General features: G+C 40.3%; 1 long non-coding RNA gene across 2 annotated transcripts in view; it reads left to right on the forward strand.

Moving 5' to 3' along the window:
• LOC101928217 (uncharacterized) overlaps positions 1-15274 on the forward strand; it is a 43451-nt gene extending 28177 nt beyond the window's left edge. Inside the window, exon 5 of one of the 2 annotated variants that reach the window (XR_001741554.2) lies at positions 14316-15274. This is a non-coding gene — a long non-coding RNA (uncharacterized LOC101928217). The remainder of the gene's footprint in view (positions 1-14315) is intronic. The other variant, XR_001741555.2, reaches the window with a different exon arrangement.

Genomic DNA, 16722 nt, shown 5'->3' on the forward strand with positions numbered 1-16722 from the left:
ATATGACTGTAGAGCTAGTTTGGCCTGACACTACCAGTAACCTACCCAGAAATTCAGAAATACTTTCTTCTCCAACCCGCCCCAACCAACCTTTTTTTGTTTGTTTGTTTTTGGGTTCTCCCTCTTTGCCTAGGCTAGAGTACAAATGGTACAGTCAGAGCTCACTGTAACCTCAAAATCCTGGGCTCAAGTGATCTTCCCCTTCAGCCTCCTATGTAGCTAAGACTACAGACATGTGCCACCATGCCTGGCTAATTTTTTTATTCTTTGCAGAGAGAGGGTCTCACTATATTGCCCAAGTTGGTTTCAAACTCCTGGCCTCAAGCAGTCCTCCTGCCTCACCCTTCCAAAGTGCTAGGATTATAGGCATGAGCCACCACACCCAGCCTCCTCTTCTTTTTAAATAGAAACCTTATTTTATTCTGACAGTGGGTTGCTTTCTTTTTTTTTTTTTTTAAGAAAAAGTTGGCCCAGCCCCAGGGAATAAATTTTGACTGCTCTAAACAGGGTTGGCCAACTATAGACCAAGGGCCAAATCTGGCCCTCTGACTATAAATTAAGTTTTACTGGAATAAAACCAGGTCCATTGATTTATCCATTGTCTACATATGCTTTTAGGCTACGATGGCACCACTGCGTCACTACAACAGAGGTTATCTAGGCCAAAAGCCTAAAATATTACCATTTGCCTCTTTATGGAAAAAGTTTGCCATTCCCTAGTCTAAGGCTTAGATTCTGAGCTTATCATTTTAGCCTACCCCCCCTTACCAGTGACTGGCTCAAAACAAGTCTGTGATTCCATTCTGACTGTTCTACTGAGGGAATTCCCCCTTCTTCTCATGCGGAGCTGATGAGGGTAAGTTGTATTAATAGGACATAGGCTTAGGTTTTCTGAAAAATACTTTTATCTAGAAATGCATAGGAATATGCTGGTGCCTGAATGTACCATCTGGGGGCCTGGAGATTGACTCACCTGCCTCCAGAGCTAGTGCTCACACTTACTACTGAGAGGCCTGAGGAAACGCCTCCCTTCCCACCACCAGAACCTGCATACGTCACCTGGAAAACTAGAGATCAGCCTGCCACACACACTACCCAGGAGCCCAGTGGTGCACCTGCCCACCTGGCCCAGTGCTGCCACTGCCAGCAACCAAAGAAGCCACCTGGAGGCCCAGGGATTGGCCCACACAGACAGGCTATCATCAGTGCCCACAAACACTGCCCATGGTCCCTTGTATTGACACACCAGGTCTACCACCACTACCACTGATGGTGAAGGACAAGACTTCCTGGCATCCCCATCAGCAAAGTCTCACCACAGCCTCCAATAACAACTACAGTCTGGCCAAGTGTGGTGGCTCACGCCTGTAATCCCAGCACTTTGAGAGGCTGAGGCCGGTAGATCACGAGGTCAGGAGTTCGAGAGCATCCTGGCCAACGTGGTGAAACCCTGTCTCTACTAAAAATACAAAAATTAGCTGCACATGGTTGCACATGCCTATAGTCCCAGCTACTCAGGAGGCTGAGGCAGGAGAATTGCTTGAACCTGGGAGGCAGAGGTTGTAGTGAGCTGAGATTGCACCACTGCACTCCAGCCTGGTGACAGAGCTAGATTCCATCTCAACAACGACAAAAAAAAAAAATACTGCAGTCTAAGCCACTGAATGACTCACAGGCACCACTCATGCCAATTACAGCTGAAGGAATCATATGCAGACTATACCACTGTACCCACCCAGAATCAAAGCCAAAGTGTGATAGCCAATGAACACTGTAGATACAGCTATAAGAAAAGGTCTTTCCCATATAAAAGCCAATCCATAAAATTGGAAGAAATGACTGTTATGTCAGAGGCACAGACAGTCACATAAGGATGCAAGAAATATGAAAAAGGAAACATAACATCTCCAAAGAAGCACAATAATTCTCCAGCAACAGATCCAATGAAAATAAAATCTATGAAATGCCTGAAAAAATTTCAGAATAATGTTATTAAAGAAACTCAGGCAGATACAAGAGAACACAGATAATGAATTCTAAAAAAAAAAAACACAGGAAAACAATTCATGATCTGAATGACAAATTCAACAGAGATAGACAGCATAACAAAGAACAAAACACAAATCCTGGAAGAGAATAAATCATTGAAATAAATACAAAAGATAATTGACAGCTTTAACAATAGACTAGATCAAGCAAAACGAAGAATTTCTGAACCTGAAGACTAGTCTTTTAAAATAATCCAGTCAGACAAAAAGAAAGAAAAAAGAATGAAGCAAGGCTACATGACATATGGGACACGTATGTGACCAAAAACTGAAATTCTGGGAGTTCTGGATGGAGATGAGATGGGTAAAGGCATAGAAAACCTATTTAATGAAATAATAACTGAAAACTTCCTGAATGCTTCCAAATGCAGGAAGCTCAAAGATTACCAAATAAATACAACTCAAAAAGGTCTTCTCCAAGGCACATTATGGTAAAATTGTCAAAAGACAAAGAGAAAATGCTAAAAACAGCAAGAGAAAGGCATCAAATCACTTATAAGAGAATCTCCATCAGGCTAACAGGGGATTTATCAGCAGAAACCTTAGACTAGGAGAAAGGGGATGTATAGTACAAGTAAAAAAAAAAAAAAAAAAAAAAAGTAAGCCAAAAATACTATACCCAGCAAAGCTATCCTTCACAAATGAAGGAGCCTGGCACAGTGGCTCACATCTGCAATTCCAGAGACTCAGAAGGCTGAGGCAGGAGGACCATTTGATCCCAGGAGTTCAAGGCTGCAGTGAGCTATGATCATGCCACTGTACTCCAGCCTGGGTGACAGAGTGAGACTCCATTGCTAAAAAAAAAATAGTAATAATAAAAGAGAAAAAAGGATTTCCCAGATAAGCAAAAGACTGTTTGTTTGTGTCTTGTTTGTTGTGGTCCTACAAGAAATGTTTAAGGGAGTCCTACATTGGGAAGCAAAAGAACAATATCTACCATCATGAAAATACATGAAAGTATAAAACTCACTGGTAGTTCAGACACACAAAGAAGAAAGGATTCAAACATCATCACTAAAGAAAACCATCAAACTGCAACCATAAATAATGAGAGAAAAAAGGAACAAAGGTGTATTAGTCTGTTTTCACACTGCTGATAAAGACATACCTGACTGAGACTGGGCAATTTACAAAAGAAAGAGGTTTAATGGACTTACACCTCCACATAGCTGAGGAAGCCTAAGAATCACGTTGGAAAGCAAGAAGAAGCAAGTCATGTCTCACATGGATGGCAGCAATCAAAGATAGAGCTTCTGCAGAGAAACTACCCTTTTCAAAACCATCAGACCTTGTGAGACGTATTCACTATCATGAGAACAGCATGGGAAAGACCTGCCCCCATGACTCAATTATTTCCCACCAGGTCCCTCCCACAACATGTGGGAATTCAAGATGACACTTGGATGGGGACACAACCAAACCATATCATTCTGCCCCTGGCCCTTCCCAAATCTCATATCCTCACATTTCAAAACCAATCATGCCTTCCCAACAGTACCCCAAAGTCTTAACTAAGTTCAGCATTAACTCAAAAGTCCACAGTCCAAAGTCTCATGTGAGACAAGGCAAATCCCTTCTGCCTATGAGCATGTAAAATCAAAAACAAGTTAGTTACTTCCTAGATACAATGGGGGTATAGGCACTGGGTAAACACAGTCATTCCAAATGGCAGAAAATTGCCCAAACAAAGGGGCTACAGGACCCATGCAAGCCCAAAATCCAGTGGGGCAGTGAAATCTCAAAGCTCCAAAATGATCTCCTTTGACTCCATGTCTCACATGCAGGTCATGCTGATGTAAGAGGTGGGCTCCCATGGCCTTGGGAGAAAAAAGGCCACAGCTCCACTCCTGTGGCTTTGTATGGTTTAAACCCCCTCCTGGCTCCTTTCACACGTTGGCATTGAGTGTCTGCAGCTTTTCCAGGCACACAGTGCAAGCTGTCAGTGAATCCACCATTCTGGGGTCTGGAGGATGGTGGCCCTCTTCTCACAGCTCCACTAGGTGGTGCTGCAGTAGGGACTCTATGTGGGGGCTCCGACCCCACATTTCCCTTCTGCAGTGCCCTAGTAGAGGTTCTCCATGAGTGCCCTGCCCCTGCAGCAAACTCCTGCCTGGATATCTAGGCATTTCCATACACCTTCTGAAATCTAGGCAGCAGTTCCCAAACCTCAATTTTTGACTTCTGTGCACCCACAGGCTCAACCCTATGTGGAAGCTGCTAAGGCTTGGGGCTTGCACCCTCTGAAGCCACAGCCCACGTTGTACCTTGGCTCCTTTTAGCTGCAGCTGGAGTGGCTAGGACTCAGGCACCCTAGGCTGCTCACAACAGGGGTCCCTGGGTCCAGCCCACAAAACCATCTTTTCTTCCTAGGCCTCTGGACCTTTGATGGGAGGGGCTGCCATGAAGACCTGTGACATGCCCTGGAGACATTTTCCCCATTGTCTTGGGGATTCACATTTGACTCCTCGTTACTTAAACAAACTTCTGCAGCCAGATCGAATTTTTCTTGAGAAAATGGGATTTTCTTTTCTATTGCATTGTCAGGCTGCAGATTTTCCAAACTTTCATGCTCTGCTTCCCTTATAAAACTGAAGGCCTTTAACAGCACCCAAGTCATCTCTTGAATGCTTTGCTGCTTAGAAATTTCTTCTATCAGATACCCTAAATCTCAAGTTCAAATACCCTATCAGATACCCTAAATCTCTCAAGTTCAAAATTCCACAAATCTCTACAGCAGGGGCAAAAAGCCACCAGTCTCTTTGCTAAAACATAACAGGAGTCACCATTGTGCCAGCTGCTAACAAGTTCCTCATTTCCATCTGAGACAAACTCATCCTAGACTTTATTGTCCATATAACCATCAGCATTTTGGGCAAGTCTCTAGGAAATCTCTTCCAAATTTTCCCACATTTTCCTGTCTCCTTCTGAGCCCTCCAAACTGTTCCAACCTCTGCCTGTTTCCCAGTTCCAAAGTCACTTTCACATATTCAGGTATCTTTTAGCAACAGCCCACTTATCGTACTAATTTACTGTATTAGTCCATTTTCACACAGCTGATAAAGACACATTCAAGACTGGGAAATTTACAAAAGAAAGAGGTTTAATGGACTTACAGTTCTACATTGCTGGGGAGGCTTCAAAATCATTGTGGAAGTCAAGGAGAGGCAAATCACATCTTACAGGGATGGCAGCAGGCAAAGAGAGAGCTTGAGCAGGGAAACTCCTCCTTTTAAAACCATCAGATCTCATGAGACTTATTCACAATTAAAAGAATAGCATGGGAAATACCTGCCTCCATGATTCAACTACTTCCCACTGCCTCCCTCCCACAACACATGGGAATTCAAGATGAGATCTGAGTGGGGACACAGCCAAACCATATCAAAAGGATATACAAAATAAACATAAAACAATGAACAAAATGACAGGTATAAGTCCTCACCTATCAATAATAACTTCGAATATGGGTTAAATTACCTACCTAAAAGATAGAGACAGGCTTAATGGATAAAAAATGACCCAACAACGTCTACAAGAAACTCACTTCACTTGTAAAGACACACACAGACTGAAAGTGAAGGGATGGAAAAATATATACCACACAAACAGAAATCAAAAATAATCAGGAGTAGCTAAACTTACATCAGATAAAACAGACTTTAAGTCAAAAGCTGTAAAAAGGACAAAGAAGGTCATTATATGGTAATAAAGTGATCAATTCAGCAACAAAGTATAACAATTCCAAATATGCATGCAACCAACACAAGTGCATCCAGAGACTTATAGCAAATATTATTAAATCTACATGGAGAGATAGAGTCCAACACAATGATAGTTGAGAACTTCAATATCCTACTGTCAGCATTGGACAGTTCATCTAGACATAAAAGCAACAAAGAAACATTAGATTTAAGCTGCACTTTAGACCAAATGGACCTAACAGATATTTTCAGAATATTTCATCCAGCAGCAGCAGAATATACAGTCATCTCATCAACACATGGAACATTCTCCAGGATAGACCATATGTTAGGACACAGAACAAGGCTGCACAAAATTTTAAAAATTAAAATCATATCAAGTATCTTCTCAGACCACAATGGAATAAAACTTGAAATCAATAAGAAGAAGAAATTTGGAAACTGTACAAATACATGGACATTAAACATGCTATTGAATAATCATTGGGTCAATGAAGAAATTAAGATGGACATCAAAAATTTTTTTTAAACAGAAAATGGAAACACATTATGCAAAACCTATGGGATACAGCAAAAGCAGTACTAGGAGGAAAGTTTATAGCAATAAATGCCTACACCAAAAAAGTAGAAAGATTTCAAATAAACAACCTAATGATGCACCTCAAGGAACTCAAAAAGCAAGAACAAATCAAACACACAATTAGTGGAAAGAAAAAATATAAATAACATAGCAGAACCAAATGCAACAGAGACAAAAAAGAAATGCAAACAATCAACAAGATAAAAGTTGGTTTTTTGAAAAGTTAAACAAAATTGATAAACGACTAGTGAGGCTAACAACAACAAAAAAAGAGACCCAAATAAATACAATCAGAAATGAAAAAGGAGACATTACAACTGTTACCAAAGAAATAAAAAGGATCATTAGAGGCTATTATGAACAACCATATGCTAACAAATTGGAAAACCTAGAGGAAAGGGATAAATTCCCAGACATACACAGCCTACCAAGATTGAACTAGGAAGAAACAGAAAACCTGAACTGACCCAAAATGAATAGCAGGTTTGAATCAGTAACAAAAAGTCTCCCAAAAGAGAAAAGCCCTAGACTAGGCTTTTATGCTGATTTCTACCCAATTTATAAAGAAAAACAAACACCAATTCTTCTCAAACTATTCCCAAAAATTGAAGAGGAAGGAATTCTTCCTAACTCATTGTATAAGGCCAGCATTACCCTGATATCCAATCAAGACAAGGACACAACAAAAGGAGAAAACTACAGGCCAATATTCCTAATGAACATAGATGGTAAAATTCTCAGCATAATACTACCAAGTCAAATGTAATGATGAATGAAAAAGATAATATACCATGATCAAGTGGGATTTATCCCAGGAATGCAAAGATGGCTCAACATACACAAATCAATACATGTGATACATCACATCAACAAGATGAAAGGCAAAAACTGTCTGATCATCTCAGCAGATACAGAAAAATCACTCAGTAAAACTTACCATTCCTTCATGATGAAAACTCTCAACAAATTATGCATAGAAGGAACACTTCAACCTAAGAAAAGGCATATATGACAAATCTACGGCTAACATCCTACTCACTGGGAAAAATTGAAAAGCCTTTCCTCTAAGAACTGGAACAAGAGAAGGATGCCCACTTTCACCACTCTTATTCAACACAGTATGGGACATCCAAGCCAAAGTGATCAGACAAGATAAAGAAATAAAAGGCACCCAAATGGACAAAAGGAAGACACATTGTCTCACTTTGCAAATGACATAATCTTATACCTGTAAACAGAAAAACCTAAAGACTCTACCAAAAAACTCTTAAAATAAATTAGGCTGGGCATGGTAGCTCATGCCTGTAATCCCAGCACTTTGGGAGGCCAAGGTGGACGGATCACCTGAGGTTGGGAGTTTGAGACCAGCCTGGCCAACATGGTGAAACCCTGTCTCTACCAAAAATACAATTAGCCAGGCATGGTGGTAGGTGCCTGTAATCCCAGCTACTTGGGAGGCTGAAGCAGGAGAATCGCTTGAACCCGAGAGGTGGAGGTTGCAGTGAGCCAAGATTGCACCACCGCACTCCAGCCTGGAAAAGAGAGACTCTCAAAAAATAAAAAATAAAAAATAAAAAACATTTCTAAAAACGGATGTATAATTCAGTAAAGCTTCAGGACACAAAATCAACGTACAAAAATCAGTAATGTTTCTATATACCAGTAACAAACTAGCTAAAATAGAAATCAAGGAAGAAATTCTATTTACAATAGCTACAAAAATAAAATACCTAGGAATAAACTTAACCAAGGATGAGGAAAAAAAAAACAAAAAACCTCTACAATGAAAACCACAAAACACTGATAAAATAAATTGAGAAGTACACAAACAAATGGAAAGGCATCTTATGCTCGTGGGTTGGAATAACTAATACTGTTAAAATGACCATACTACCCGAAGCAATCTAGAGATTCAGTATAATCCCTATCAATTATATTCTTCACAGAAACAGGAAAAAAAAACCCTGAAATTCATATGGAACCACAGAAGACCCCAAATAGCCAAAGCAATACTGAGCAAAAAGAACAAAGCTAGAAGCCTCACACTACCTGATTTAAAAATATACTGCAAAGAGGCCGGGTGAGGTGGCTCAAGCCTATATCCCAGCACTTTGGGAGGCCAAGGCGGGTGGATCACAAGGTCAGCAGATCGAGACCATCCTGGCTAACATGGTGAAACCCCGTCTCTACTAAAAAAAAAAAAAAAAAATTAGCCAGACATGGTGGCGGGCATCTGTAGTCCCAGCAGCTACTCGGGAGGCTGAGGCAGGAGAATGGCATGAACCCGGGAGGAAGAGCTTGCAGTGAGCAGAGATCACGCCACTGCACTCCAGCCTCGGCGACAGAGCAAGACTTCATCTCAAAAAGAAAAAAAATATGTATATATATGTGTATATATGTATACATATACGTATATATGTATATACGTATATATCTGTATATATACACATATATATGTATATATGTATATATACACCTATATATGTATATATGTATATATACACGTATATATACACGTATATATACACGTATATATGTATATATACACGTATATATACACGTATATATGTATATATACACGTATATATACACGTATATATGTATATATACACGTATATATACACGTATATATGTATATATACACGTATATATACACGTATATATGTATATATACACGTATATATACACGTATATATGTATATATACACGTGTATATACACGTATATATGTATATATACACGTGTATATACACGTATATATGTATATATACACGTGTATATACACGTATATATGTATATATGTATATATACGTGTATATATACGTATATATGTATATATACGTGTATATATACGTATATATGTATATATACGTATATATACGTATATATGTATATATACGTATTATATACGTATATATGTGTGTGTATATATATATACAGTATATATATATATATACTGCAAAGCTATAGTAACCAAAACAGCGTGTATTGGTATTAAAACAGACACAAAAACAAAGGAAACAGACTAAAGAATCCAGAAATGAATCCACATATTTACAGCTAACTGATTTTCAAGAAAGCTGTCAAGAACATACATTGAATAAAGGACACCCTCTTCATTAAATGGTGCCAGGAAAACTAGATATCCAAACACAGAAGAATAAAACTAGACCCTTATCTCTCATCACTTACAAAAATAAACTCAAAATAAATTAAAGACTTAAATGTAACAGCCACAACTATAAAACTACTAGAAGTAAACACAGGAGAAACGCTTGAGAACAAAGATTGTATGGCTAACACTTAAAAAGTACAAGCAACAAAAACAGACAAATGGGATTATATTAAACTAAATACCTTCCGCATATCAAAGAAAACAATCAACAGAGTGAAAAGACAACACCCCTCCCTTACGCCATACACAAAAATTAACTCAAGATGGCTTACAGACTTAAATGTAAAACCCATAACTATAAAAACGCTGAAGACAACCTAGGCAATACCATCCGGTACATAGTGATGGGCAAAGAGTTCATGGTGAAGATGCCAAATGCAATTGCCACAAAAGCAAAAATTGACAAATGGGATCTAATTAAATGAAAGAGCTTCTGCACAGCAAAAGAAACTATCAAAAAATAAGCAGACATTTCTCAAAAGAAAATATACAAATCACCAAGTTTATGAAAAAATATTCAACATCACTAATCATCACGGAAATGCAAATCAAAACCACAGTGAGATATCATCTCACACTTGTTAGAATGGGTATTAAAAAGACAAAGCACAACAAATGCTGGCAAGCATGTGAAGAAAAGAAAATTATCGTATATTGTTGGTGGGAATGTAAATTAGTACAGCCATTATGAAAAAAAGTACAGAGATTTCTCAAAAAACTAAGAACAGATCTACCATATGATCCAGCAATCCCACTCCTGGGTATATATCCAAAAAAAGATATCAGTGTATCAACGGGATATCTGTACCCCCATATTTACTGCAGCACTCTTTACAATAGCCCAGATATGGAATCAATCTAAGTGTCAATCAATGGATGAATGGATAAAGAAAATGGGAATATACTCACAATAGAATAGTATTCAGCCATAAAAACGAATGAAATCCTGTCATTTTCAGCTAAATGGATGGAACTAAAGGTCATAATGTCAGGTGAACTAGGCCATGCACAGAAAGAAAACTTGCATGTTCTCACTTATATGAGCGGTTTATGCTCCTGGAAATCAAAGCGGGGCCATATTTCAGGTCAGTAGGGTCAGGGATAGAGACCGCAGTTATGGACTTGTGTGCCCTGGAGCTATATAAAATTGATATCATGGAGATAAAGAGTAGAATGATAGTTGCCAGAGGCTAGGAATAGGAGGGGTTTGAAAAGAGGTTGATTAATGGGTATAAAAATATATAATAGAAGGAATGAGATCTAGTGTTTATTATCACAGAAAGTGACTACAACAATTTATTGTATATTTCTTTTTTTTAATTTCAATAGTTTTTAGGGAACAGGTGGTATTTTGCTACACGGGTAAGTCCCTTAGTGGTGATCTCTGAAATTTTGGCGTACCCATCAGCAAAGCAGTTTACCCAATGTCTTTTATCTCTCACCCCCTCCCACCTTCCCCCTGAGCCCCCAAAGTCCACTGTTTCATTCTTGTGCCTTCGCATCATCGTAGCTTAGCTCCCACTTACGAGTGAGAATACGCAATGTTTGGTTTTCCATTCCTGAGTTACTTCATTTAGAATAATGGTCTCCAACTCCACCCAGGTTGCTATGAATGTCATTATTTTATTCCTTTTTAAGGCTAAGTAGTATTCTATGGTATACATATATATAACACATTTTCTTTATCCACTAATTGATTGATGGGCATTTGGGCTGATCCTATAGTTTTGCAACTGTGAATTCTGCTGCTGTAAACATGTGTGCAAAAGTATCTTTTTCATATAATGACTTCTTTTCCTCTGGGTAGATACCTAACAGTGGGATGGCTGGATCAAATGGTGGATGTACTTCTAATTCTTTAAGGAATCTCCATACTGCTTTTCATAGTGGTGGTACTAGCTTACATTCCCACCATCAGTGTGAAAGCGTTGTCTTTCACCACATCCATGCCAACATCAATTTTTGTTTTTTTGTTTTGTTTTGGTTTTTGTTTTTTTGAGATGGAGTCTCGCTCTGTCGCCCAGGCTGGAGTACAGTGGTGCCATATCAGCTCACTGCAACCTCTGCCTCCCGGGTTCAAGCAATTCTCCTGCCTCAGCCTCCTGAGTAGCTGGGATTACAGGCAACTGCCACCATGCCCGGCTAATGTTTTGTATTTTCAGTAGAGACTGGGTTTCACTATGTTGGTCAGGCTGGTCTCAAACTCCTGACCTCAAGATCCACCCAACTTGGCCTCCCAAAGTGCTAGGATTACAGGCGTGAGCCACAGCGCCCGGCCCTCTTTTTGTTTATTTTACACGTGGTATTGCATTGTGGTTTTGATTTGCATTTCCCTGGTAATTAGTGATGTTGAGCATTTTTTCATATGTTTGTTGGCCATTTGTATATCTTCTTTTGAGAATTGTCTATTCATGTCCTTGGCACACTTTTTGATGAGATTATTTTTTTCTTGCTGATCAGAGTTCCCTGTAGATTCTGGACATTAGTCCTTTGTCAGATGCAGTTTGTGAAAATTTTCTCCCACTCTGTGGGTGATCTGTTTACTCTGCTGATTATTCCCTATGCTGTGCAGGAGGCCTTTAGTTTAATTAAGTCCCGTCTATTTATCTTTGTTTCTGTTGCATTTGCTTTTGGGTTCTTGGTCATAAACTCTTTGCCTAAGCCAATGTGTAGAACCATTTTCCAATGTTATCTTCTAGAATGTTTATGGTTTCAGACCTTAGATTTAAGTATTTGATCCATCTTGTGTTGATTTTTGTATAAGGTGAGAGATAAGGATCCAGTTTTATTCTTCTACATGTGGCTTGCCAATTATCCCAGCACTATTTGTTGTATAGGGTGTAATTTTCTTACTTTGTTTTTGTTTACTTTGTTGAAGATCAGTTGGCTTTTAAGTATTTGGCTTTATTTCTAGCTTCTCTACTCTGTCCCATTGGTCATGTGCCTATTTTTATACGAGAACCATGCTGTTTTGGTGACTATAGCCTTGTAATATAGTTTGAAGTTGGGTAATGTGATGCCTCTAGATTGGTTCTTTTTGCTTAGTTTTGCTTTGGCTTTGCAGACTCTTTTTTAGTTCCAAATGAATTTTGGCATTTTTTTTTCTAGTTCTATAAAGAATGATGATGGTACATTGATAGGAATTGCATTGAATTTGTAGACTGCTTTTGGCAGTATGGTCATTTTCACAATATTGAGTCTACCCATCCATGAGCATGGAATGTGTTTCCATTTGTTTTTGTCATCTATGATTTCTTTCAACAGTGTTTTGTAGTTTTCCTTGTAGGGGTCTTTCACCTCCTTGGTTAGATATATTCCTAAGTATTTTATTTTTACAGCTATTATAAAAGGGTTTGATTTGATTCTCAGCCTGGTAGATGCTGGTGTATAGCACTGCTACTGATATGTGTACATAGATATTGTATCCTGATAAATAGATTTATTGTGTATTTCTAAATAGCAATAAGATTTGAAATATTCCCAACACAAAGAAATGATCAATGTTTGAAGTGATTAATATCCTAAAGACCCTGATTTGATCATTACACATTGCATACATGTACCAGAATCTCACATGGACCCCATAAATGTGTACAATTATTCTCTATCAAAAATATTTTTTTAAGAAACATGCAGGAATACACTGTACCTCTTCCTTGCTTTGTCTGGATATTGTCACATGAGGACTTGACATGCGGATTGTGGCAGCCTTTGTGACCAAGAGCAGAAGACAATAGCAGCGTAGAAACCTCAAATGAAAAACCTAACATCTCAAGCTACTAATTTTGCCAACCTTGGCATCAGCTATCTCTGGTCTTAGTACATGAGGTGATAAGCCCCCACTGTTCAAGTTGGGTGGCCATCAATTGCTGCAGAATAGAAGTTAATGAGGCTTCCTCCTCCTGGATCTCCTATTAGACCTTGACATGCCCATTCAGTCACAGGCAGAAAGGGAAGCACAGGGTAAGGAGACCTGGCTGACTGTGCCAGATGCAGATCTTACCTGTCCTGTTTAGAACACTCAAAGCTCAATTGGTTAAACAAAAAAAGGAAAAAGACAATAAGGAGTATAGCACTCCCCAGATGCAACTTAATCTAACACTCTATACTTTAGATTTTCTAGACATACTTAGAAATCAGACCACTACTTCTGCAGAACATTTTACTGGTAAAAAGAACAGACCACATGAGGGAAAACTGATTTGGTGGAAAGACAACAGAAACAAAACATGGGAAATAGGTAAGGTGATAACATGGGGGAGAGGTTTTGCTTGTGTTTCACGAGGAGAAAATCAGCTTCCTGTTTGGATACCCACTAAACATTTGAAGTTCTACAATGAACCCATCAGAGATGCAAATGAAAGTGCCTCTACAGAGACAGAAAACCCGCAATCGAGCATCATCGACTCGCAGGGTGAACAAAATGGTGATATCAGAAGAACAGATGAAGTTACAATCCACCAAGGAAAAGGCACATGTGGAGAGTCAGGGAGAGGAAGAGAAAGAAAAAGAGACAGAGATCAGAGAGAGACACAGAAAGTGAGACTGGGGAGAGAGAGAGTGTAAAAGAGAGAGAGAGAGAGACCGTAAGAGAAGGGAGACAAAGAGATAAAAGGCGCGAGTCAGCAGGTGAGGAGAAAGACTGAAAACTATGAGAAACAGCAACTAAGACACAAAGGAGGTGGGAGACTGCCTTGGTGCCGCAGCACCCACACCGTCCTCTTGCCCCCGTCACTTGGGTTAAAACCACCGCAAATTCCACTATTGCAAATTTTGTATTAATCCTTGTATTTCTGTCCTTTCTATTTTTAGTCTACAGGTGAATCCAGCAGCTCCAGAGAGACAGCGACCAGCGAGAAGGGGCCATGATGATGGTGGTGGTTTTGTCAAAACGAAAAGGGGGATATGTAGGGAAAAGAAAGAGAGATCAGACTGTTACTGTGTCTACATAGAAAGGGAAGACATAAGAGACTCCATTTTGAAAAAGACCTGTACTTTCAACCATTGCTTTGCTGAGATGTTGTTAATCTGTAGCTTTGCCCCAGCCACTTTGCCCCAACCACTTTGACCCAATCTGGAGCTCATTAAAACATGTGTTGTATGAAATCAAGGTTTAAGACATGTAGGGCTGTGCAGGACGTGCCTTGTTAACCAAATGTTTGCAAGCAGTATACTTGGTAAAAGTCATCACCATTCTCTTGTCTCAATAAACCAGGGACACAATGCACTGTGGAAAGCCGCAGGGACCTCTGCCGTTGAAAGCTGGGTGTTGTTCAAAGTTTCTCCCCATGTGAGAGTCTGAAATATGGCCTCGTGGGATGAGAAAGACCTGACGGTCCCCAAGCCCGACACCTGTAAAAGGTCTGTGCTGAGGTGGATTAGCCAAAGAAGAAAGCCTCTTGCAGTTGAGAGAGAGGAAGGCCGCTGTCTCCTGCCTGCCCCTGGGAACTGAATGTCGCGGTATAAAACACGATTGTACATTTGTTCAATTCTGAGATGGGAGAAAAACCGCCCTATGGTGGGAGGCGAGACATGTTTACAGCAATGCTGCCTTGTTATTCTTTACTCCACTGAGATGTTTGGGTGGAGAGAAACATAAATCTGGCTTACGTACACGTCCAGTCATAGTACCTTCCCTTGAACTTCATTATGACATAGATTCTATTGCTCACATGTTTGTTGCTGACCTTCTCCTTATTATCACCCTGCCCTCCTACTACATTCCTTTTTGCTGAAATAATGAAGATAATAATAAAAACTGAGGGAACTCAGAGACCCGTGCCAGTGCAGGTCCTTGGTATGCTAAGCGCCGGTACCCTGGGCCCACTGCTGTTTCTCTATACTTTGTCTCTGTGTCTGATTTCTTTTCTGTCTCTCATCCCACCTGACAAGAAATACCCACAGGTGTGGAGGGGCAGGCCACCCCTTCAGTATGAGATTACAGGCATGAATAACCCCACCTGGCCACCTAACTCACTCTTGAGAGGCCAGAAGTGATGCTGGAACTTTCTTCCTCTGTGGGTTAAAAAGGGAAAATTAGGGACAACACAAGGCAGGAGAGATGCAGCGATGGATATGTCTATATGGAGCTTCTGTCTGCATCCAGTAGAAAATGCATTTCTAGGCACCAGGTTTAAGAGCGAAAACCTGGAGTCTTGTCTGTTAGCATTCTCCTTCCCCACAAACCAGAGAGGGAATACATTTGCTCCAGCACACCCGTATGTAGGAAATGTCACATTCCTATTTCTGTAACTTCAGTTAAATCTGCTGTGAGTCCCTGGATGCCTGGCAGGTGGAGAATTCAATCTTGTCGTTACCAGCATTCCTTTCCCTTCTCCATGGGCTTATGTAAGAATTCTGGGCTTACACACTGTTGGAAAGCCAGGAAGGAACTACATCCCCCGAACTCTCCATTCTTCCAGCTGCTCATGATCCATCAACGGTCTTTGGGCCATCTGCTATAGCAAGACCCTCCTCACAGTGGATATCAGGGGCTGGGGTGGAAACGTAGGGGATAGGAGACACTGGTCAAAGGGTACAAAGTTTCCAGTAGGAAGAATAAGTTTTGAACAAGCTAAACTCCTCTGAAAGCTCAGTTCCTTATCTGTAGAGCAGGGACACATCATTAACCTTCTAAGGATGTTGCTGTGAGAGTAAAAGATGAGGTTCAGCACAATACCTAAAGCACAGTCAGGTCTCCTTAAGCTTGAACCTGCATCGCCATGAGCTCTACATCTCAGGACAGAAAGGCTCACAGCCAGTTTCTCAGTTCCCAGTGAGAAGTGGATCCCAGACCAGGCTGAACCGCAGGATCCCCAGGGGATACCCAGCCCTACTGAGTCAGAATCACTGGAGGTAGAGCCTGGGTATGTATGTATGTATGTATGTATGTATGTATGTGTGTGTGTGTGTGTATGTATGTATGTATAAGAGACAGGGTCTTGCTCTGCAGTCCAGGCTGGAGTGCAGTGTCACAATCATAGTTCACTGCAGCCTCAAATTACTCCTGGCCTCAATTCATTCTCCCATCTCAGCCTTCAGAGTAGCTGAGACTACAGGCACATGCCACCAAGCCCGGATAGATTTTTTTTTCTTCCTTTTGGAGAGAGTCTCACTCTGTTGCCCAGGCTGGAGTGCAGTGGTGCAATCTTGGCTCACTGCAACCTCTGTCTCCCGGGTTCAAGTGATTCTCATGCCTCAGCCTCCTGAGTAGCTAGGA

Source organism: Homo sapiens, chromosome 4, assembly GCF_000001405.40.
Source record: "Homo sapiens chromosome 4, GRCh38.p14 Primary Assembly".
Classification (NCBI taxonomy): Eukaryota; Metazoa; Chordata; class Mammalia; order Primates; family Hominidae; genus Homo; species Homo sapiens.